The following is a 23,838-nucleotide window of genomic DNA, read 5'->3' on the forward strand; positions in this document are numbered from 1 at the left end:
AGAAAAATACACTTCCAGAAGATCTTTCTCACATACATATCTGAAGAGTCATCGTATTTAATAACCTCCTTCGTTGTACACACCGAACGGCATATTCTTTGGGTGATAACAGCTTGCTGTGTGGGATTTGGGTCTCTTTTTGCCTTAGATGTTGGTCTGATACTAGCCCCACCCCCCAACAGCCGGGCTCCTGGCGGAGGTAGTGGGTGGAGCTAACGAGACATCTAGTACGGGGCTCACAGGTAACAGAACTCTGATCAGATCCGCCCCGGCTCCCACACAGCTATAAGGTTGCCTGCCTGCCTGCACAGAAATGACGAAGGACAAAAACAGCCCAGGGTAGGTGGGATCTATCAGCCTCCATCTGTTGTTACTTCCTGTGTTATGAAGAAAACGTTTCCTAGTTCCATTATAAAATAGCTCTCTGATTTCTGTGCAAGTGAGAAATCAAATCTTTGTGTTTATGGGACCAAACAGATGGATTTCTGTTGCCATTTGGTTCCTGGCGAAGTGGGACCGTGAACAAGGCAGACTGCCGAAAACATAGGTACTAAAGAAAGGGAAAACCCTTCTGATATGTTTGCTGTGCAGTATTCATTGCATACGATCCCTTTCAAAGTCATAGTTCTTCGTATTTTTAAATGCTGTTTTTCCTAATTTCAGCTCGGCACCACCTATCGTTTATGAACACAGTTTTATTGTTTGGTGTAAGCGGTTTTAAATGGCTTAGAGAGATAATCATAATTTGTATTCTCAATTAAAATATATTAAGCACATATATTTCAGTATGTTGTATTCAGCTTAAATATATTATTTAAAATAATCTAAAATTACTTGAAAAAAACAAAATCATGAAAAATGTTGTCTATATTATTCTGTGAATAATAGTTTCAACCACTTAATATTTTAAACTAATAATAGCATAGGTCTAGCAACAAAAAATAATTATTGGAAATTCTTACTTTCAGTTGTTACCGGCATAGACCTCATTACAGGAATAGGCCTCATTGCCCTTGGTAGATGACCAGGTGCTCTTTTAGAAAATCAGTTAAAACAAAAGTGCAGAAATCTACCACCCCCAGAAGCAAACTACCTTTACTCATGAATTCTCATTATTCCTGACTGTAAGAATGCATTTTCTTTTTCGTTATTTCTGTCAGGTATAGATAACATCATTGATGTTGTTAACATCATTTAAATTTCAAGATTATATTATGCTCTTATATAATTAAAGCTATTTTGTTCTCTGGTATAAAGTTTATAGGTGGGCAGGTAAGAAAAACACAATTTTTGAAAGTTGAGTACTTAACCAGATTACTTAATTAGCACCCTCTTCTGCCTGGCTTGACATTTATAGTTAATCATGAATTTGCATCTTGGAAGCCAGAAAACAACAATTATCTGGAAACTTAATTTAAAAAATATAAATTTTGCCTGACTTATATTTTAGGGGTTGAAATTGCCTTGTTAAGAATTAACCTCCCTCAGCTGATGTTACCCCTCTGATCACTTTTGACTCTTCGTTTAATTATAAGTAAATAACTTGCAGTGCTTCTTGCCTCCCTTCCATCAATATTTAAACAAGGAAAAGCATTCATAGCTGTGAGCCAAATGCAGCTAGCTACATAGAATATGGTTTAGTCACAGAACCAATAGAATTACCAGAAACCTCAGCAAGTTATTCCTTTAGAAGTAGTCCCAGATACAACACCACTTCTACTCAAAGCCAAAGTTATTGTTGAATGTAGGCTACACACTGTTCTGTATGCTTTGCCTGTGTTAACGGCATCATCACAACCACTCCTGCAAAGTTTGTATTGTTATAATTCCCATTGTAACTGATAGCATACTGAGATAAGAAAAGAGTAAGCAAATTATCCAGCTCCACGCAGCTAGTAAATGATGATGGTAGAGTCCACAGAAGCTTGGTAATAGATTTCTTAAAAATTAAAATAAATCCAATCCCAAATTACTTGTTTAAAATTCCTTTTACATTTCCTTCATTAGATATTCAAATTACAAAATATGTACATATTGATACAAATAAAAGAAAAATCTTAATGATGCCACATTAAGAGGATTTCTTTTACTTTTTTGTCTTTTAATTTTTTTTTGCTGTCCCTTGGAGTCAGTAGGGGCCACATCCCCTTTCTAATCCTACTCTCTGGGCATGGAGAGCACTTTCACATTTTTCTTCATGCTTGCCACATGTATGCTGTCTCACAGGCATGCACACTTTTAAACAAAAATAACAATATAAACATTACTCTGAAACTTGATATTTCATGAAGTCATATATCATAGTGCTTACTCCAGGCCAGTAAAGTTGTAGTTGAGCTTTGCATTGATGCATAATATTTCATGTGATGAATGAATCATAATTTATTCATGCAATGATGGATGTTCAGATAAGAGAATGATCAATTCCTTGAGTGTTTTAAATAGACACCTGACAGAAAGAGTGAAATGAGCTAGGTGCTTTTACCAAAGCTAAGGTCTGCTTATGAAGACGTTCCTCATAACGCTGCAATTTCTTAGTGATTAAGTGATCAAAATTATGTCTGGATGCCTCCCAAGTACACATTTCTTAAATTACTCCATATCACCTGAAAGAATGTGGTGAATCTTTTCATGTTTGTCCGTGTGCTATTTTCAGTTTAGATTCTTTGTAGCAAAGTGGAAGGAATTGGGTACATTTAATATTAAATTTTTGTTGTTGGAAAGGGAAAAAAACACTAAATTATTGCAGTTCTAAATTATGGTTTGAAAAGGAAAAGCAAAAGCTATCAAAATACGAAGCAGGAAAAGAGAGGCAGCTCTGAAATCAACACATTGCCTAGGACATTCTCCCTAAGAGTCTGCTCTTCTTGGCTGATGCAGCAGCAGTGCACTGTACACAACAAACTGCCAGTCCCAAACTCCTTGTAGTGCCAACTAGCATTCCAAGTAAAACAGAGCAGACCTTTTAAAGCCACCTAAGTATCTCTTGAGCATAGGAGTATGATTCCTTAAATGCTCTTATACTTTCATTTTACAGAGCTCTGAAAGAGGGTGCTTTTTTTTTTTTTAAGTTTTAGTTTTAAGGCAAAGCAAAGCTTTGGCACCGATTGATAATTTGCCTGTGCACCTCAGAAAAGTAATTCCTTTCTTAAGAACAAACAGCTTATCTAGTCATTCCCCTAACTTTTCTTGCTTCTAGAACTGAAGCAAATTTGCTAATTTTGTAGTATTCTGTAAAGCAGCAAACTGTGATATTCAGTGAAGTTCTCACTGCAAATTGGGAACCGAGAAAGGATATAACACATCCTTTGCACTCCTATAGAACCTATCAAGGCTAAAGATGTTGAGCCTGACTCTCTTAACAGCTCCAGTGTCTGAAATAAATATTCTAATGTCTAAATGAAATTGTGCTCATTCCCTCAGGGTTTAGTGTAAAACAATATGCTCTTGAGGTGAGGACAAGAAGGCCGTCACCTGAGCATGTGAGTTTTCATGTTGATACTCTGAACATTCCATTCTAGACTACCTGGAATCAAGGACCACATCTGAGTGTGTTATACTTGCAAACAGTTTGGCTTATTATCATTGCAATTGGAAATCTTACAAGCATATATACTGGCTCTAATATATATTTTATTTATACAGATGAATTATGCCCATTTAAAAACAAAAAAGTTATCTGTAGAATACATTATAGTTTTCATTCTTATACATGGATCAGAATAGAGTTAAGAATGTGTTCTTTTAGCTTTGCCATTTTAAGCAATTTTGTATATACATAATCATTCACTTGGAAGCCAGTTCAGTTTCAATTTATATAATGATTGTTTTTAATTTAGAATAACAGGAAATTTTCTTTTTTCTTTCAAATATTAGTTTTGATAATGTTGAAGTATGCTGGTTGAAAACTTTATGATTTTGAAATAGCGCAGAGACAGGCATTACGTTGCTTGATATAGTATAAGATTTTGATTGTTTTCTAGAACATCGTCTCTGTTGAGATTAGCAATAGAAGTTTTAAGTATTCTGCATATATTTCCAATTTGGTTCAACATACATTTCTTTAGCTTTTATTTTTTGCATGTCCCTTGACTTTTTTTAAAATAAGAATATTCAAAAATGAATAAAACATGATTCCTGCTCTCCAGAATTTTACAGGTTAGTGGGTGAGACTGAGAGTTACATGCTTAAAAACAAATGTGTGTAACAGCAGGAACGCTGCTACTGCTCAAACAGTAGGAAGTTAAAAACACGAGAACGTGAGATGATTTGGGGAGCGGGAGCATATTTGACTAAATGTCCACTGTGTGCTCAGTTTGGGGTCCCAGAGGCTAGCCGACATATTGTATGCAGGACACATGGAACATAGTCTAGCTCCTAACTCCATCTGCATTTGGTTTCTGTCTGGTAAGCTCATGTGTAATTACAGACTCAGGACAAAGAGGTGGTTAATTCTTCAATGGTAAATTAAATATGATACAAGATGGAAACCGAACTCCACAAATATCCAGAAGAGAAGCATGATATTAGCTGAAATTTTTATTCCATTGCATTTTCTTAAATCTGTGAAATCCATGTAAGTCTGAACTTAAAGACAGCACTATCTTTTAATTTAGCCTATAAAAATTTCAGCAAACCAAAATGTTTGTTAAAATAACCATTAACCACATATATATCCAAATATTCATTATATATATAAAATTTCTTTAAAATATCATGCTCAGAAATAGAGTAAGTTTTAATTAACAGGAAAATTGTTTCATATCTTGTTATCTTTACCAAAAATTAAAAATCACCACCAACAACATTCTGTATCTATGGATACCTTTTCTTTCTGTTACGTCAAAGTGCATCATGGAATTATTCTGAAAATAGGGCCACCTGCTCTATTTGATATTGGACTTTTAAAGAAACAAAAGTTTAACTTGGTCACCAATTTACTGTTCCTGGAATTGTACTTTATGAGAACATTTCAAATTAATTGCATCCTTAAACTGGGGTCACATTTGAAATCTTGTCCTTTGCTTTTTGTTGTTTGTTTTGAAACTTGTTGAAAATTCTTCCCAGGATTCTTTCTATGTGGAATCCAATTTACAGTACATTTTAAGGGCCTTTTTAAAAAACATAAAATGAAACATAGGCAATCCTTTAGTGGATCTGTCCTGTTTTAGGACTAAATTGATATCTTTTAATAGATGTAAGGCCTTTTGGATTATCTGCCCCGAACTTCTCCCACTATTGATAGGCATCTTGTACTAAGCCATAGCCATATATTGAAAATTGCCCCAAATGTGCTCTGCTCTTTCTCACCTCTTTGTTTTTGCACAAGCTTACCTCTGCCCAGGATGCCCTTTCTTGCATCGTAGAAGAATGTACAATGACTTCCTTGTACTACTTCCTCAAGTGCCTGGTCAGATGTGACTGCCCCTTGGAGATCTTTTCCATCTCCAGTGGTGCTGTGCACTTCGAGCTCACCCAGTTGGCTTTACTGCACATAATCACATTGGTGTCATCACATCACCCATGGATCTCTCTCTCCCTCACCTGGGAAGACTCTTCTTTGTATTCCCTGGGCTTAGCATGGTGCCTTGCCCTAAGTGTTGGGCTAACCAAAGGTAAAGTACATGGACCACTTTGAAAATGAAAAATATGTTTGATGATAGAATAGCTCTCAAATGCTTTAGTATATTTCCATCAATGTGAAGGCAGTTGAAATTGTCTGCTGGATTTCTTTGATCATGAACTATGAGCAGTAGGAATCATGTTGATTAAATTCTCTTTTTTCTTTCTCTGCCTGTGACCATGCCTTAATTCAGGCACTCATTATCTCTCACACAAACTATTTCAAGACTTTTCTAACTATTCCTCCTACCACCAGTTCCTTTTCCTGCCTTCTCTCCTATATGCCACTGCTAGAGCTAACTTCCCTCAAAATGTTTCTGATTGCATCACTCCTATTCTTAAACTCTCATGGTGGCATCCAATTATAATACATAGTCCAGGCCTTTCAGCCATAATTCAGGACCTGAGCCTGTAAGCACTGTAAGATGTGAGACATTGTCATGTTTTCCTCACTGTTATCCCCCCAGCATATAGCATAGTACTTGGCATAGCCTAGGTGCACAATGCACATGGGCTGAGTAGCCCATTTCATCAAATCTAAGATGGTGTGATCAGAAAACACACCATTATTTTACACACTGCTAAGAAAAAAACCTGCCAATTAAACTAAGGCACAAAGCATTCTTATTCTTTGAATTTTTATTTTATTCTTATTGAAAAACCATTTTTATACTTCAGGAAAAAAGATTTTATTATATGTCACTCTAATGCATAAATAAAAGGGAAACATAAGAAAAATACATTGGTTAAAGTAATTATTACAACTTTACATTTTAAGTTTGACCTTTATGAATCTCTTTCTACCTGCAAATCATTGAGATTTGTGTTTTTCCACACAGTATTCTCCATTTCATCAGGAGTATTAGAGTTGAAGCATTTCTTAAAAGAGTGATTTTAGGCAAGTGGGTTGCCTGACCTCAGGAGTTTGAGACCAGCCTGGGCAACATGGTGAAATCCTGTCTCTACTAAAATACAAAAAATTAGCCAGGCGTGGTGACATGCACCTGTAGTCCCAGCTACTCGGGAGGCTGAGGCAGGAGAATTGCTTGAAGCTGGGAAGGGGAAGTTGCAGTGAGCCAAGATGGCGCCACTGCACTCCAGCCTGGGAGACAGAGTGAGACTCTGTCTCAAAAAAAAAAAAAAGAAAAATTATATATGTATATATATAAAATTTAAAAAGTAATTTTATTTCAAGTTGCTGACACCTACTTTGCAAGTTTTGATGTCCATGTATAGGTAGTGACAACATCAAAACTGCTACCAACCCAACAGCATCTTCATTTCAGAGGTGTTAAAATGTTAAAAAATAATAATAACTAAAGTCCGTCTCAGAATTGATGATATTAATTGTCTTATTCGTGGAATCAATATATGGTATTTTTAGTCTGTCCCCAACATACTCTTCCAGTTTCCTCTTCCCACTACTCAATCCCTCACACTTTTACTCCAGACTATGAGATTTTGTGAACTGGGGCAGATGCTTTTTTGACTCTGTGTTGTTGCATTCATTCCAATGTAATTGCCATCTTCAAGCCTTTCTTACTTCCCCAGATGGACGGGGTCTCTTCCGCCTTGCCACCCTCTGAGCATTTTGTGTATACTTATTTGAATACTTCTGACAATTTTTAGTATGCATGTTGAAAGATAAGAACTAACACTATAGTACTTTTGTCTGTACCCTTGCTGCTTGCACACAGCTATTATTTGATAAAACTTGATTAAATATGGTTTGATATATTTCCTTCCTTTTATTTGCTTATGGAGTGGTTTAGAGTTCCAGAGTTGTCCAGGGAGGACTTCTGTTACTATTGCTTTTATATGACTTGGTGCCCTTGGTCAAGCATCATTTAACAAAGGATTTGTTATTTTGAGTTAGTCAGAATATTTAAGTTTTGTGTTGGCCAAGGCCCATGTCTTACAAAATAAACAAATAAAAAGCTCACTAACCCAATATTTTTGTGCATTTCATCAGGATTGAACAATCTATTTGATAAATGACAATTTATATCTTCACAATTTTTACACTAAAATCATCCCAGAGACCGGAACCTAAATAAGACAACTAAAAGCAATTATAGAACTTTCAGGAGCAAGTGTAAAGTCTCAGTTGAAATACTGTCTATTGATAAAAACATTAGCCAAGGTCAAATGCATGTCCTTTAAAACTGTCTTCTCATTTCATTACTGAGTGTTAAAATTAAGAGTCTGTGTCTGAATTCCTGATGTTAGTCATGAGTCATTCTATTTATAGATGTTAATGTAATTCTCAAAGAGTTGCCAACAAAGGAACAGGTGATGACCCCCTAGAGCAGTGTTACTGAAAATATTGTCAGTCCAATCAGTCACCTGGCATACTGGGCAGAAATGCAGTTACCTGGGGTCAGAGTCATACCTTTGGACTCTTTTGACTCCCAGGATTCTGAGTAATTCTTAAAGAAAAGGAAGTTTGAAAGTTTGTATTTTTAGATTATGATCCATTGAATCTGATACCATGAAAGATATATTTAGTGTTTTCCCAATAGACCTAGATTAATACCCAAATTCCAATAGAGCTCTTGCTTCTGGACTGTACAATTCAATGCTGTTTAGTCACATAATTCAAAAACTTTAAAAAATATTTTCTATAACATTTTTATAACTAGTTTTTCACTATTAAATTCTGTAAACTTAATGACATTTCACTTCAATCTATACAGGAAGTTAATAACTTTTCCTTTGAATAGATAGAAGAAAGAAATAAAAAGAGATCATTTTGTATTGTATGCTTTCCAGCGGAAATGATCTATGATATAGAATTAAATAAAAAACTTTTTAAAACAATTCTGAGTCACTGCAAGCACTCAGAGAGATGTGAGTCACCATAGGTCACCCAGAGGATGAAGATATAGCTGGGAACAGAACGAAGATACTGTCTTTCTGTCCCTTACCCACTTGCCTGCTTCCTCCAACAATTCAAATTCATTCATTGAGTCATATGACCGTCTCATAGTGTTGTTGTTTCCTGAATAGCTTTTTATTAAGGATTTTCTGGGCTTCTAGTATACTCCGCAGAAGCAGAATTAACATTATTTATCTTAAAAAAGCATTGGATTATTTACGAAATAAAAACAAAACTTGAAAAAATGATCAAATAATGGATTTTGATACATCTAGCACCATTGCCTTGTTTTATTTTTATTGATAAAATAAGTATGTTGGAAGTTATTTAATGCCATCAATGTAATTTGAAGAAGAAACAAATGGAATCTATCTTGATGAGCAACTATTGTGGGTTTTTTTTCTCCACACCATGATTTCACCTACATGTTTTCTTTGCAGCTTGCATAATCTATAGAATATCCATCCATGATAACATAACAATACATTGGCAGCTATTTGATTACCTTTTGAGCGTTGTTAATCCCTCTGCCCAGCTCTTCTTTGAACTGGTCATGAAATGAAACATTAAGTCCCATGTCAACCAAAGGAATGATAGATGGATGGAGACTCAGGAATCCAGGAGACCAAATAAAGAAACATGTGTGTGCATGTGTTTGTGTGTGTTGTATGTGTGTGTGTTCTTTCTGAAAATTCCAGTTGCATTTATTATTTGCATTGTACATAATAACACATCATCAAATTGACCTTTAATTAAGTGGCTAAGCCATCTGAGTGGCATTATTGTTTAGACAGTTCTCATCAAAATTTTTAGTAGTTCTCCATTTCTTGAGCTAGAATTTATTAGTTGAATGCCTACTTATCTATTAAAGACATTTGATAAATACCTCCAATGTGCCAGTCAGTGTGCCAATCACTGTGCTAGGTACTGGGATTCACTGGTGTGCACAATAATTACTTTGGATTAGGTCACCTTTTATTAAAAGATTAATGCTGTTGTCCCAGAAGTGGGTTAGTTAGTTGTCTTGGGATAGGTTTCTGATAAAAAGATGATTTTGGTCCCTTTCCCTGTGCTCTCTAATGTTTTCTTTACATTCTACCTTCTGTCATGGGATGATGCAGCAGGAAGGTCCTCACAAGTTGCTGGCACCTTGATATTGGACTTTCTAGTCTCCAGAACTTTGAGAAATAAATGTATTTCCTCTTTAAATTACCCAGACTGTGTTATTCTCTTATAGCAGCAAAAGCCAGACTAAGACAGAAAATTGGTACCAAGAGGTGGGGCTGTGCCATCATAACTACCTGAAAATGTGGAGGCACCTTTGGAACTGTGTGACAAATAGAGGCTGGAAGAATTCAGAGGAGCAGGCTAGAAAAGGCTAGATTACTGTAAATGGAGCATTAAGGACAATTCTGATGAAGGCATAGAAGACAGGAGCTATAGGGAAACCTAAATCTTCTTAGGGATTATTTAAGTGGTTGGTCTCAGAATGTTGGTAGAAATATAGACAGTAAATGCCATTCTGATGAGCTCCCAATTAGAAATGTAGAATAAGGTATTGGGAACTGAAGGAAAGGCCATCCTTCTTACAAAATGGCAAAGAAGTTGGCTGAATTGTGTCCGTGCCTGAGGACTATATGGAAGACAGAATTGAAGAGCAATAAACTAGGATATCTGGTGGAAGAAAATTTTTAAGTAAAATTTTGACAGAGCTGTGTAGCTGCTTTTAACTAGTTATAGTAAAATGCGAGTGGAGAGAAATGATTTAAAGACTGAGTTTATAGCTAAAAAATAAGAACAGAAAAATTTGGAAAACTCTCAGCCTGGCTGCATAAAGAATAAAAAAGCATGTTCAGGAGAGAATTCTAAGGGTCTGACCAAGCAACTGATCACTAAAGAGATTAATATGGATAGAAGGAAGCCAAGTTCTATTTATCAAGATAATGAGTGAATGACCCCAAAGGCATTTCAAAGATTTTTGAGGCAAGCTAGGAACTTGAGGGCCAGATTTCCAGAGAGGTTCCCTTAAAAGCTCAATATTTGCTGCCCAGGTCTGCCATGGGACTCTGCTCCCTGCATTCTGGTGCAGTGCTCTTTGGCTGCCCCAACTGTGGCTCAGTTGGGCCTAGATGTGGCTCAACCTGCTGCTCTGGAAGGTACAAGCTGTAAACCCTGGTGGGTGTCCACATGGTGCTAATTCTACAGACATGCAGATTACAAGAGCTGTGGAAGTTTGGCTCCCTCCACCAAGATTTCAAGGACTGTTGTGGATAGCCTAGTGGCCCAGGAAGAGATTTCTCACAGGAGTAGAGTTACTGCAGAGAGCCCCCATTAAAGCAATACCTAGTGGAGCCATGAGAGTGGGGCCACTTCCAAGATCTCAGAACTGTAGAGCTACCAGCTTGCAGCATCAGCCTGGGAGAACTGGAGGCATGAGACTCTAACCTAGGAGAGCTGCTGGGTGGACTGAGCCCAGCAGTCCCACAGGGGTGGGACTGCCTGAGGCCTTAGGAGCCCAATGCCTGCCTCAGTATGCCCAGGTTAATTCTGGAACTATGAGGCAATGTTGTTTTCCCTATTAGGTTTTGGACTTACTTGGGACTAGTTAGCCCTTTCTTCTTGCTTAGTCCTCCCTTTTAAAATGAGAATGTATACCCAATACCTGTCCTACCATTGTTTTTTGGAAGCATGTAATTTGCAGACTTCATAGGCTCATTGCTAGAGAGAAATTTATCTAAGGATGAATTATGCCTTGAGTCTCAGCCATATCTGATTTAGATGAGACTCTGGACTTTGGGCTTTTGAGTTGATGCTGGAATGAGTTAAGACTTTTGGGACTGCTGGGATGGAATGAATGTATTTTGCACTGTTAGAAGGACATAAATTTGGTGAGCCTGGAGTAGAATTCTGTGGTGTGAACATAGCCCCCAAAGTTCATGTGTTGGAAACTTAATCCCCAGTGCAACAGTGTTGGGAGATAGGGCCTAGTAAGAGGTGGTTATATCACCTCTTATTAAAGAATTAATGCTGTTATTGGGGAGTGGGCTAGTTATTGCGTTATTGGGTGCCTGATGAAAGGGTAAGTTTGGCCCCCTTCCCTGCCCTCTCTTATGTTTTCTTCCCCTTCTGCCTTCTGCCGTGGTATGACACAGCAAGAAGGCCCTCATAAGATGCTGGCACTGTGATTATTGGACTTCCCAGCCTCCAGAACTGTGAGGAATAAATTTATTTTTTTATTAAATATCCAGTCTGTATTTTTCCATTATAGCAATACAAAGCAGACAAAGACAAGCGCATTACCTATACATAAAGCCAGCATACTCTTATCTGAAAAAAAAAATAATTACTTCCTTCTAACTATCTAGCTTCTAGCACAGGTTAGGAAAAATCTTCTTTATTCCTGTCCCCATCTACAATAAGCTAACCATTATCTGTTCTATGCAGGAGCTCTTCATTAGAAGGAAGGCAGTCCTAAATCTTGAAAAGCCCAGGACATAGCATATCTGTTGTTCCTTTTGCTTAATATGTCTGTCATGATATAGCCTCATTTATAAATTTCTTGTGTTTCCTATTGCATCAGCTGCCACACTGTGTACTTATTCACTAATTTCGTAAAAGACACTCCTTATACTAAAGGCTGTCAGAAAGATGATACATGGTTAACTCTCATTTTTCATCAGGTGCCACAAGCCAGCACATGTTACAATCAAGGGAAGATGGAGCATCCATACGTTTCTCTTCCTCTGGCTATAGAGTTGACTGTTGACTGTCAACTCCTCACAGTCACTTATTCATTAATTCATTTACTTGTTTTAAAATAAAATGTTTTTTGAGTGCCTGCTTTGTGGAAGCACTGTGCTAGGTACAAGAGATGCAATAGTTGACAAGGCAGGGATGGTCCTAGCCTTAGGAATTTCAGTTTGTCACTTGCTACTCACGTTAAATTTACTTTTAACACCATTGCTCTCAATCACTGACTTCTAAGTTGACAGTTACCCAAAGAATAGATCACTGAGAATCTCTTTACACCTAGAAATATCTGTAAAGACTTACATTACACCATCGGAGTCTGCCCTATCCTTTAAAAGCTGCCTTTGTCAGTTTCCATGCACAGGATTAAGTGCCTTCATCTTTTTATATATGAGAAACATGACTCGCAATCTTATATTCTGCTTCCAATTATCTGAGGACTGCACAGAAGACAATGATGTGGATTCTAATGAGACACAAAGACCTGTGTTCTACTTCCTACTATTCCATTGCTTGGTACTTTGAAAGTATTTGCACCAAGTAAAGTGATGCCTTGGTTTCAGAAGCAGCTCTAATGGTGGCTAGGGGCTTAAAAGTCTCTAAAAGTGGCTGTGCCTCATGCCTGGGCAAAACCAGGTTCACTGCTGGTGAAACAATTTGTAGAATATTGTCATTTTATAAAAGTAAGTTAATAAGCATTCATCTGATGGTATGTTTCAAAAATTCTGGGCATGTTCTCCTTAACATGTCTCGTTAAGGAAAAGACTTTCTGTAAGGCAAAATCGTTCCCTGTACTGAGAATGTACTAGCCATGTACACTGGTCTAAGACAGATGACTGATGGATGAGCCAAAATCATAGACTAATATGAAAAGGATGTTTTACAGCTATTTATATACATATGTAATTACGTATAATTGGATGATATATTTCTATATTAGAAGTTATATATAAAGTGCAAGTAAGTTAATGGGCACGTGTATATTAAATTAAAATCTATATTAGTTATATATTTTATATTTATATATTTAAGACATGAAGAGCTGAACAAGCAGATGTTTAGCCTGAAGGAAAGAACACTAGGGGGACATAATAGCAAAGCACGTGTATTTGTGAATCTGTTTATTCAAGAGCAGTTAGATTTGTCCTGTATGGCCTCAAAAGCAAATTAGGGCTAGTGGTTTGAGATTACGGGAATGGATTTTAGCTCACTATGAAGAAAAATTTTCTCAAATTCAGATCTGGCTAGAGTAAGAGTAGTCTCCCCTGGGAGACGGTGAGTTCTCTTTCCTTAGATGTACTTAAATATAAAATAATTCTAGAGAGAAATTCACCAGGTTCAGTGGCTCATGCCTATAATCCCAGCACTTTAGGAGGCTGAGGTAGGTGGATCACTTGAGGTCAGGAGTTCGAGACCAGCCTGGCCAACATGGTGAAACCCCATCTCTACAAAAATACAAAAATTAGCCAGGCATGGTGGCGTGTACCTGTAATCCCAGCTACTCAGGAGGCAGGAGAATCACTTGAACCCAGGAGGTGAAGGTTACAGTGAGCAGAGATCACGCCACTGCATTCCAGCCTGGGCAATAGAGTGAGACTGTCTCAAAAATAAAAACAAATAAATAAAGGAATTTTGGAGAGGAATCAAGCATTGGGAATGCAGTTTAAATACATGGCCTTTAAAACTATTTTAAGCCTGGAAATACAGGATTCCTGCTGATTCTCAGTTTCTTTATTTGTAAATTGACAATAATATTACCTGTCTTGTCACCTGCAGATTGTTTTGCAGATCGGAACAGATAATATGCGCAGTGTCACAAAAATATAAGGAATGAGTGTTTCTATTGCACCAAAGGAAATTACTCATTAATGAGTGTGAATCAGATGTGACTAATACCACAGGTTATTCATTATCATCTATAAGAAACATTCAAATTAAAACACCTAAAGATGCAACATGAACTTGCATTTTTGAAACTATGTTTAGAGAAAAGGATCCTGACTCACTTTAAAGGGACTTGGATTACTAGTGAATTTATTTCCATTTTGTGTTTAATTTTAGTCATTTGTATTAATGTCTTCTTTTTCTAATATGTTTAAGATGATGGGTGACCTTACAGACTGGTTTTTGTTGGTTTATTGGTCTGTTGGTCTGTTTTGTATGTCTTACATTAAAGAAATTATGGAAAAGGATAATAATCTGTCCCAGAAAATCCTACCTCTGCAAATAATATAGCAGAATTAAAACCATTTAGAGAACTTAAGTTAGATTTCCCAGATTTATGTATTCACATTCCTATAATAGTTTTTATTAAACTTTAAAAGTTACAAGGTTTACCTGATTGTTATGCTTCAGGCAGCGCACAGATGTATACATGAGATATTATGTTGTTCCTCTTAATTGCTCTTTCTGCATTGAATATGTTAGTTTGTTTTTTCACCTCTGTTTAAATCATTACCCATTCATATACTCTACAATTCCTGGGTGAACTTTGGGAAAACACTTTGCTTCTCTGAATGAATAGCAAATGCAACACAAGACCTTGGATAAGCTATTTAAAAGTCAAATAAGAGCCTCTGAAGAATGAATCAGTCAGCAGAAACATTATCATGGTGAAAACATTTCCTACTTTTCTCAGCATCATCATTTATTTTGTTTTCCTAAAACTAATTAATATATTCAAAAGTCAACAAAATTTTACTTATTAATAATGTGCAATAAACAGAAACATTTGCCAGAAAGCACTGCATCAGGAGTTAGAAGACTTGGTTCTGATAGTTGCTAATTTTGTGACCTTGGGAGATGCATTCACTTCCCTGAACCACATTTTTTCTCATGTGTTCAAGAGAACAAATAATGATCAACCCACCATATCTTGAGGAAGGATCAGTGGGGACAATATAGATAAGTACACTTAAATTATTTCTGTAGTTCAGTAATAGTAAGTGAAACCACCTACATTCTTTCCAATAATAATAATACCTAACATTTTTATAATTCTTTATTACACCTCATTGTTTATTATTTCCATTTTATAGGTGAGAGATCTGAGGTTCAGAGGGTTTAAAATGATCTATCAATACCAGTAAATGGTTGACCCATAAGTCACCTCCACTCTTTTGAGTGAATACCTGTTTCCCTAAGCCCATATTTTATACACTTTGGAGAAACAGAACAGCAAGCCAAGGAGAACACAGAAAAAATTATGGGGAGAGAGGCTGGTTGTCAGCCTTAATAAAGCTCGATGCTCTCCTTACTTAAATGACTGTTTCATGTGACCTTCAACTACAATAGTATTCTAAGTGGAGTTAGGAAGAGATTTAATGGGAGGGGGGTTTATTGAATCCATTTTCAATGTAATGCATAAACATTTAGTTTTTCTCTGTTAAGTCAGGTATCAATCGAAGGCAGTATTTCTCAACATGTTAATAATTGTGCATGCCTCTCAAATAAGAAGAGTTCTTAGACATGTTTTTCATAATCTCCCCTTAATAAAATGTTAATAACACAAATATACTTCATGTCTGTTTATGTTCTTTGGCCCTTTGGAGTTCCAGAATCATTATGCTAAGATTTTTTCACCCCAAGACCTAATTTTGTATGATGAGAATACATGATGGAAGGCTGAGCAATGTATCTCTGCTTAGAGAAGTGGCATAGATGTTGGGAGCACAGCGAGGCTGTATCAGTCTGTCTTGATTCAAATCCTAGTTTAGCCACTTACCTGCTGTGTAACCTTGCTAAATTACATATCTGATCTTTGTCTAAACGAGCCTATCCGTGAAGTAGGGATTGTAAGAGCAGCAGCATCATATTGTTACTCATATAAAGTGCTTAGGACAACACTGGCATTTAGGAAGAGCTCAATAAATGCTTTTTTGCTATATTATGGAATCCTGATTTAGAAATAGGAAAACCTGAGCTCTAAGCCTGACTTATCTGTGTAGCACAGAGTCAATTATTGCTCAGAGCCTCAGTTTCTTCATAGATACATAACTGATTTCACTCAAAACTACAGATCGTTCCAATTGCAGAATGTAGTTATAGGGTCTCATCTATTTATCTCTACAGTTAAGTGAACTTACCTATTTTTTTCTGTTACTTATTTATTAATTTTATTTTAGCCTACGAATTTCTAAAAATCTCTGATTATATTCTCATAGTTTTGTCTTATTGTAGCCTAGTGACCTGAACCCAGAATCTTCATAGAAAGGTACTGTATTCCACAAATATTTCCTTTGGAATAATAATAGCAGTTAATGCTTTAAAAACATTTTCAAGCCCAATATTGCACTAATCCTCAAAACATCTTGTGATGGAGATATTTTTATTCTTATTTTGTGATGAGAAAACTGATACCATAGTTAATGGAGTGAAGTCAAGCTATGAGGAAGGAAATCCAAGTTGTCTATTCCTAGACCGAAAATATTAATTAATTAGATATGTGCATCTGTGAGAAGAGGCTTATTGCCCCCGTGACAATTTTTTGGCATTAAAAAATGCAAAAATTGAAACAAAGACATAAAGAAGAAACTATTCATTTCCTGACTTCTATTATGGTATTTTTTTTTCTCTTCCTCCTTGAGTGCAGGAGCTTTCGACGTGACAAATGTCAGCCTATCGCAGCTATCCTTAGGAGATATCCCCAGGTTGCTTGGCACTAGTGCAGTAGAAGTAGCAGTGAGACAGACTCTTGGCAGTCAGTCCATCTGCCTTTTCTGTTATTGACTTCATAGTTGTTGAGTGGCAGGTCTTACTTATCCTGTAGCTGGAAGAAATATTTTTTAAAAAACATTCATTTATTTGATGAGTATTTATTGAGCACGAAGCATATCTCGGGCTTCATTACGCAATAACCATGGACTGTCATCTCTTATCTGTTCCTTGTTCTGTATCACTGAGGATGGGCCTCTTCTCTGCTGTCACTACATTTATACTCATTCATTCATTCAATGAGCATTTATTGAGTAGTTACTATATGCTAGGTACTAGGGATAAAGTAGTAAGGAAAACAGTTTGATCAAAGTTCCTGCCCTCATTCCAGGAGGAAAGGGGAGATAAGCAAGGTACCTTAATATATAGAGTATGTTAAATAATTTTCAGTATTAAGGAGAAAAATAAAAAATGGAAGGGGGATGTAAAATGTTGGGTGGGGTGACATTTTAAATGATTGGCCATGGAAAGCCTCAATGTGAAGGTGATTTGGGATCGATACTGGAAGGAAGTGAGGGAGTTAGCTGTGGATGTCTGCGAGATGAGCATTCCCAGTGGAAGGAAAGTAGGTACAAAGGCCTGAAGTGGGGGCATGCCTGATGTGCTTGAAGGACAATGTGATTAAAGTGGTGTTATCAAGGTGGCAGGAGGGGTGGAGGAGTAATAGGAGTTGAGTTCAGAGAGGCAATAAGAGGTCAAACCATGTACAGCCTTGTAGTTCATTGCAGAGACTTTCGCTTTAACACTGATTGATATGGGAAGCCACTAGAGGTACTGAACAGAAGAGTGATGTGATCAGATTTACATGTTAACATGATCATTTTAGATGCAGTTTTAAGAGTAGACTAAGGCAAAGCAGAGAGACCAGGTAAGAGATGCTGTTGACTTGGGCTAGAGTAATGGTAGTGGGAGGATGAGAAGTCGTCAAATTATTGATAAATTTTGAAAGTATACCCTGCAAGATTTGATGAGGGACCAGTTGTGGAGTGTAAGAAAAAGAGAAAGAACAGGAATGATACCAGGGTTTTTGTTTTCAGTAACTAGAAGACTAGAGCTGTCATTAGCAATATGAGAAACATCATGACCTGTCAACATCCTTTCTCTTATATCACTAGATTTAGAGTGGATAACTTCACCAATTTGAACATAATGGCAGGATACTATTATAGTACTTTATCCAAGAGAGAATTCTGAGATTGGTTTCTATTCTTGAGTATTCCATGAACTAGCCGTATGATGTATGATTCAACCACTTACTGTAAGTCTCAAATTTATTCATTTGCAAATGAGACTGACTCAGACATTATCTTCTCTAAGAAGCCTTCTTTAATATCATTGTCCAAAGAGTATTCATCAATGTCTCTACTGACCTACTTCTATACCTTGTATAAACTTCTAATAGTCCACATATTTTGTGCTTGATATATCTGTTTTCCTTACTATACCATTTGGTCCTCAATTGAGTCTTATAAGTTTTTGCATCCTGTGTACAGCAACACATGATAGACACTTAAAATCTTACTTTAGATGATTTCTGAATTTAATGAAAAGATGAACATTTGTCATTGTTTCATGAAATTCAGTGTTCATAGTATAATTTTAGAAAATATTATAGAAGTAGGAAGGAAATATTAATATTATTGTTTTGAAATATGGATTATACCACCCAGAGTCACTTTTTTTGTGGGGAGAGTGTGGCAGACAAGAGGGACTTCTTTTTCAATGCCAATTCTTTTATCCCTAATAGTTTACATTAAACTAGTGTAGTTTGATCATGCTCGTGATTATTCTTCAGAAGTTAAACCTTTAACTTAGAAATCACATGGTTATCTTTGGATTTTTTTGCTCTCAATTCAAAAATTTACATCTTATAAACTTAATTTATAAGAATGTAATGTATTTCCAATCCAGTTTACATTTATTGACTTCCCCCCCAGAAGAAATACATTTTTATAATAAGTATAAATGTAGAAATAGAATAATGATGAAAGGCTCAAGGCCTGCCACTAAGAAAATCTACAGTTTGCATCATGTAATTTAGTTATACTGGAAAACACATACCACAGTGTTGCGTCATGGAAGAGCCTCAACAGATGTCATTTTTCTGTATACAGACAATATCCTCATAATGGATATTGAATACATGTAAATATATGCAAAATACAACCCTGATTAAGCATATTAAAATATAACTTATACTATTGATGGCTAATAGATATTTTTATTTGATATTGTACAGCTGATAAATGATGATACTTATTGATTACTTACAACATACCTGATATAGTACTTGGTATTTCATATTTGCATCTTTATTCCACAACACTATAAACTAAGGAGTATCCTTTCCAATTTTTAGTTAAAGAAAGTTGCTGCTAGTGATAATTTCAAGTTTTCAGCCCAAGTCTGTTCCCAAAGCCTGACATTTTTTTCACTTCCAAACTACCTTCCAGAGTATTTCATCCACTGTTGAGAGATGAGATGACCAAGACGTCTCAAGGTCAGGTCACCAGCTGAAATCCACTTTTCACTTACTTCCTTCATTCTGTCTAGTTTAGCAAACAACAAGCAATTATTATCATGTTCATGAAGAGTGGGCTTTTTTGTACTAATATTTTCAGGGCTAGTCTTGGTGATGGAAGCTGTATTCTGTGACTATATTGACTGAACTTGAATACTTGCTAACAAATATAGTAGTGGGATTCATCGGGTCTCAAAGTTGCTTTTACCCTATTTGCAAGTTAGCCTGTCACTGCTTCATGGATGACCACAAAGAGCTTTATTCCTGGTGGCTTGATAGGCAGCATGACCCTCAGCCTAAGTCCTTGCTTCTGGCCTCCATATCTCACAGGGATGATCTTGATGGAAGCTATACTTACAAAAGAATATTGAGCTTTAGAAATCCACTCATTTTATTGTAAGCAGTAAGCAAACCTGCTCTTTGTCTGGAAGGGTGACATTATCTCATTAATCAAGATTGTTCCTGGCAAATACACTCTGAGAAGTGGCCAGGGAAAGAAAAGCCAAGGCCTTACTTACATGCTTTGCACTCCTAATGAGATGTGTAGGAGCACAAGACATCCATGGAGGATATCTCTCCCCACTGGATTCTTGTATTTCTGAACTTCAAGAATCTAATCTTTCTTAGAGACAATGTTGACAAATTAGTAAAACCATAATTTCAAGTATCCAAATTGTACCAATGGAAGATAGTAACGTTTTGCTAATTATTTCTTTGTGTTTAGATATTAATCCCAAATGGCCTGGGTGATTAAATTAGGTTAAAGTATGAGGGAAAAGTATGTTTAGAGCTAGAAAGAGAGTGACAGAGATGGAGATGGATGGATAAATTTTTGATCCATTAGTCTGTGGTGGTAATGATTATGGGAATGAGACAGGAAGACAGGAAGATAAGTAGCATTGTGTATTTATTCATTCTTTATCTATTTAATGATAAATGTTTGTCCAACACCAGCCCCCATTCTAGGTCTTGGAGAGAACAGCCATGGACAAGACCAACAAGGTCTTCACCCTCAAGGAGCTTACATTTTAATGAGTATAGTAAGGAAACAAACATGCAAACAGTAAATAGGATCAGAAAGTGACAAGTGCTATGAAGAAAACTAAACAATTTTTGAGTTTACTTTAGTTACCATGTTCCCAGAAGACTTCTCTGAGGTGCCAACATTTGAGCGAGTATGTGATTATTAGAAGATAGCTATACATATACTACATCCACACACACACACAAAAAACAACAACACTTCAGGATGAGTAAGTATTCTGGGCCAAAGGAATACATAGTCAAAGACTGTAAAGCAGAAGTAAGCTGGGTATGTTTGAAGGAGAACAAGTATGTCAACGTGGTGGAAAGAGAGTGAACAAGGGTAAGATTAAGAGACCATGGAGAAAAAATATTAGTCAAGGGGATGGTCAGGTAGTATCTTTGGGGAAGTCATGGTAAGGAATTTTGTTTGTCACTGAAAGTTTTAAATTATGATGTGATATATTTGGATTTATGGTTAATATGGGCTACACTGGCTCCTTATGGCTTGGATTGTGGAACGGATTGCAGTTGGACAAGAAAGAACACAGAGAGTCTAATAATGTTTGCAGAACTTGAGCCAAGAGAAAGTACATTTTAGGGATTACTTCGTCATGAGAGACAAAAATATATTGAAGTTAGTTGAAACAGCAAAGAATTTATCGTAAGGAAGATAGCTCATGAAAATCAAGGGCAGAAAGGTAGTCAGTCGCCATAAGAAACTGACTACATATTCCTTTTGCCTAGAATACTTACTCATCCTGAAGTGTTGTTGTGGTCATTGTTTGTTTGTGTGTTGTTGTTGTTGTTGTTGTTGTTGTGTGTGTGTGTAGTATATGTATAGCTATCTTCTAATAATTACATATTCATTCAAATGTTAACACCTCAGAGAAGTCTTCTGTGAACATGATAACCAAAGTCAACAGAAAGCTATCAGGAACCAAGGGATTCATTCGTATTCATACTCTCTTTCTCGTCCTCTTTCCCTCCCTCCCTTCTTGCCTATAGACTTTCTCTGCTTTGGTAATCTATGGCCAACCAGAAGTTCTTCAGCTCCACTTTACGTAATTTCCCAGTTTGAATGCATGAGAATGGTTACATATCTTCTCTGAATCTATGTTCAAATTTCACTGAAGAAACTCTTCACTTGATTTGCCCTGGGCCATATGTCTACTTCTGATCCAATTGGTCAGAAATGAGCTGAGCTAGAATACTTAAATTGGGATGGCAGGAGCTGTGAGAGCACAGTTATACATACAAGAGCATGTACAGTATTGGCTTATAGCTCAATTAATTTCTGCCTCAGCTATAGAAATATAAAGGAACAAATGTGTTGGCTGTTAGTAGACTTGAATGCTTGGCTAGGGTTGACAGAAAGTAACAGGTTTTGAGTAAGCAGCACAATTTAGTCAAGTAAATGGGCAGCTTGTGATTAACAGTGTCAGTATCATGAGTTGTATAAATTAGGGATCCTCAAGGTCTCCCTTGGTGTTCCCACATGTAGAAAGGTTAAAACAAAAGTGATATTCAAAAACAGGCAACAGATATATCTTACGATATGTTGGTAAAGCCTGAAATAGGCATCTGGAGTGACAAGGGTAAAATCAGGTTGCAGTAATAAAGAAGTTGGTCAGACAGGTCTGTAGACCTCATTGAAGAAGGTGAGTTTAAGCAAAGGTGCAAATGAAGTGAAACAAAGGCATGAATGAAAGACACAAATGAATCTGCGAAACAGGTATCTGTGGGGGAAGCATTTTAGGCAGGGCAAGTAGGTAGAACAAAACCCCTTAGGTAGGAATATACTTGATCAGTTTGGGGAGCAGCAAAGAAGCCAGAGTGGCTACAGTGCAATGAGTTAGTGAAAGAATAGTAAGAAAGAAAGTCAGTGAGGTAATGGAGTTGGAGGAAGTATCTCGTGATTGGCCTGTAGGCTCCCTGGACTTTGGTTATTTTTCAGAGCAAAGGATAGTCATTGCAGGACTTTGAGCAGAAGACATCATCTGTAAATACTAAATTTTCTCATATAAACCTATTAAAAGTACATACATCCTATGAAGTTTGTATATTAAAAACCAGAAGATGCACTACCAGAAAAATATAATGGAAACCATTCTTCCAGTTATTTCCGTATTTTGAATGTAGAGCTAAGTTTTGGTGGCAGATTGGAGGTGAGTGTGAATAAAAGAAGGAAATCAAGAATAAGTCCGAGTATTTTGGCCTGAGCAACTGAAAAAATGGACTTGCCACCAACCAAGATGGGAAAGACTGGGGGGTAGAATAGTTGGAGGGAAATAAAAGTTTAGTTTGGACATGTGAACCTTGTGATGTCCTTTAGGTGTCCAAATGGAGATGCCAATAGGTTTTTGAGAATTTTGGAGAGATCTGGTCTGGAGATAGAAGTTTGGAAATTGTTTGCATATAAATGGTATTTAAAGCCATGGCTTCACTGAGGCAGTAAGTGTAGATAGAAAAGAGAAGGCCAAAGATTGCTCTGGGGCATCCAACATTAATAGGTCAGGGAGAAGAGGTGGATCTAGCAAAAGAGACTGAGAAGAAGTGATCAGTGAGGTATGAAAAGACATATGAGTGTGACATCTTAGACATTAAGTGAAGGAAGGGTATGAAGGAAGAGGGACTGATAAACTGTGCCATCTGCTAAGGTAAGCACTGATAACTGACCATTAGGTTTAGCAATGGTGATTGCTGACCATTGGAGGTCATTGCTGACCTTGATGTGGGCAGTTTTGGTGGTATGGTAAAGTGAAAACTTGACCAGGGTGGATTTAAAAGAGAATGAAAGAGAATTAGAGACAATAAATATGAGTCCATGCTTTTGAGGTGTTTTTTGGCAAAGGAGGCACAGAAATGGGACTGTAGTGGCTGGGGAAGTGGGATCAAAAGAAAGTATTTATGAGAGTAAAAACAGCATGTTTATATGCTGATATTAACAGTTTAGTAGAAAGGGAAGGGTGGATTATAGAGGAGAGAGGGGAAATTATTAGAGCAATGGGCTTGAATAGATGATAAGAAATATTATCTAGTACATAAGTAGACGATTAATAATTTTAATATTAATAATTAGCAATAATTTATCTGGGAAAGTGTTTCTCTATTAATTGCTTAGAGAGTTTTTCATCACTGCTCAAAAACCTTTTGTAGCAGCCCATTGCCTATTCAATCCAGCCTAGGAACCTCAGCCCAGCAGGCAAGATGGTTGTACTCTGACCTCAGTGTACCTTACTGGCTTCATTTCCTTCAGTTCTCCCTCCTGTGCCTAAGTTAAAGAACTTTCACATTAATCTTTGTTTCTTTGTGTATTGCATGCGATAGA

At 36.7% G+C, this 23,838-nt stretch overlaps 1 protein-coding gene across 5 annotated transcripts in view; it reads left to right on the top strand.

The window, feature by feature from the left end:
- Positions 1–23,838, top strand: part of OXR1 (oxidation resistance 1) — a 482,517-nt gene that overhangs the window by 177,532 nt on the left and 281,147 nt on the right. For 3 of the 5 annotated variants that reach the window (XR_001745547.2, NM_001198532.1, XM_006716595.3), the window contains exon 1: positions 215–339. The exons of the other annotated variants lie outside the window; for them this stretch is intronic. Coding sequence is in view for 2 of the 3 variants with exons in the window: in NM_001198532.1 (NP_001185461.1) it covers positions 314–339 (26 nt within the window). In the remaining variant the exon portion in view is untranslated. Of the gene's footprint in view, positions 1–214; positions 340–23,838 lie in introns of those variants that run through there. 5 annotated transcript variants of the gene reach the window in all.

This window comes from Homo sapiens, chromosome 8 (genome assembly GCF_000001405.40).
Source record: "Homo sapiens chromosome 8, GRCh38.p14 Primary Assembly".
Classification (NCBI taxonomy): Eukaryota; Metazoa; Chordata; class Mammalia; order Primates; family Hominidae; genus Homo; species Homo sapiens.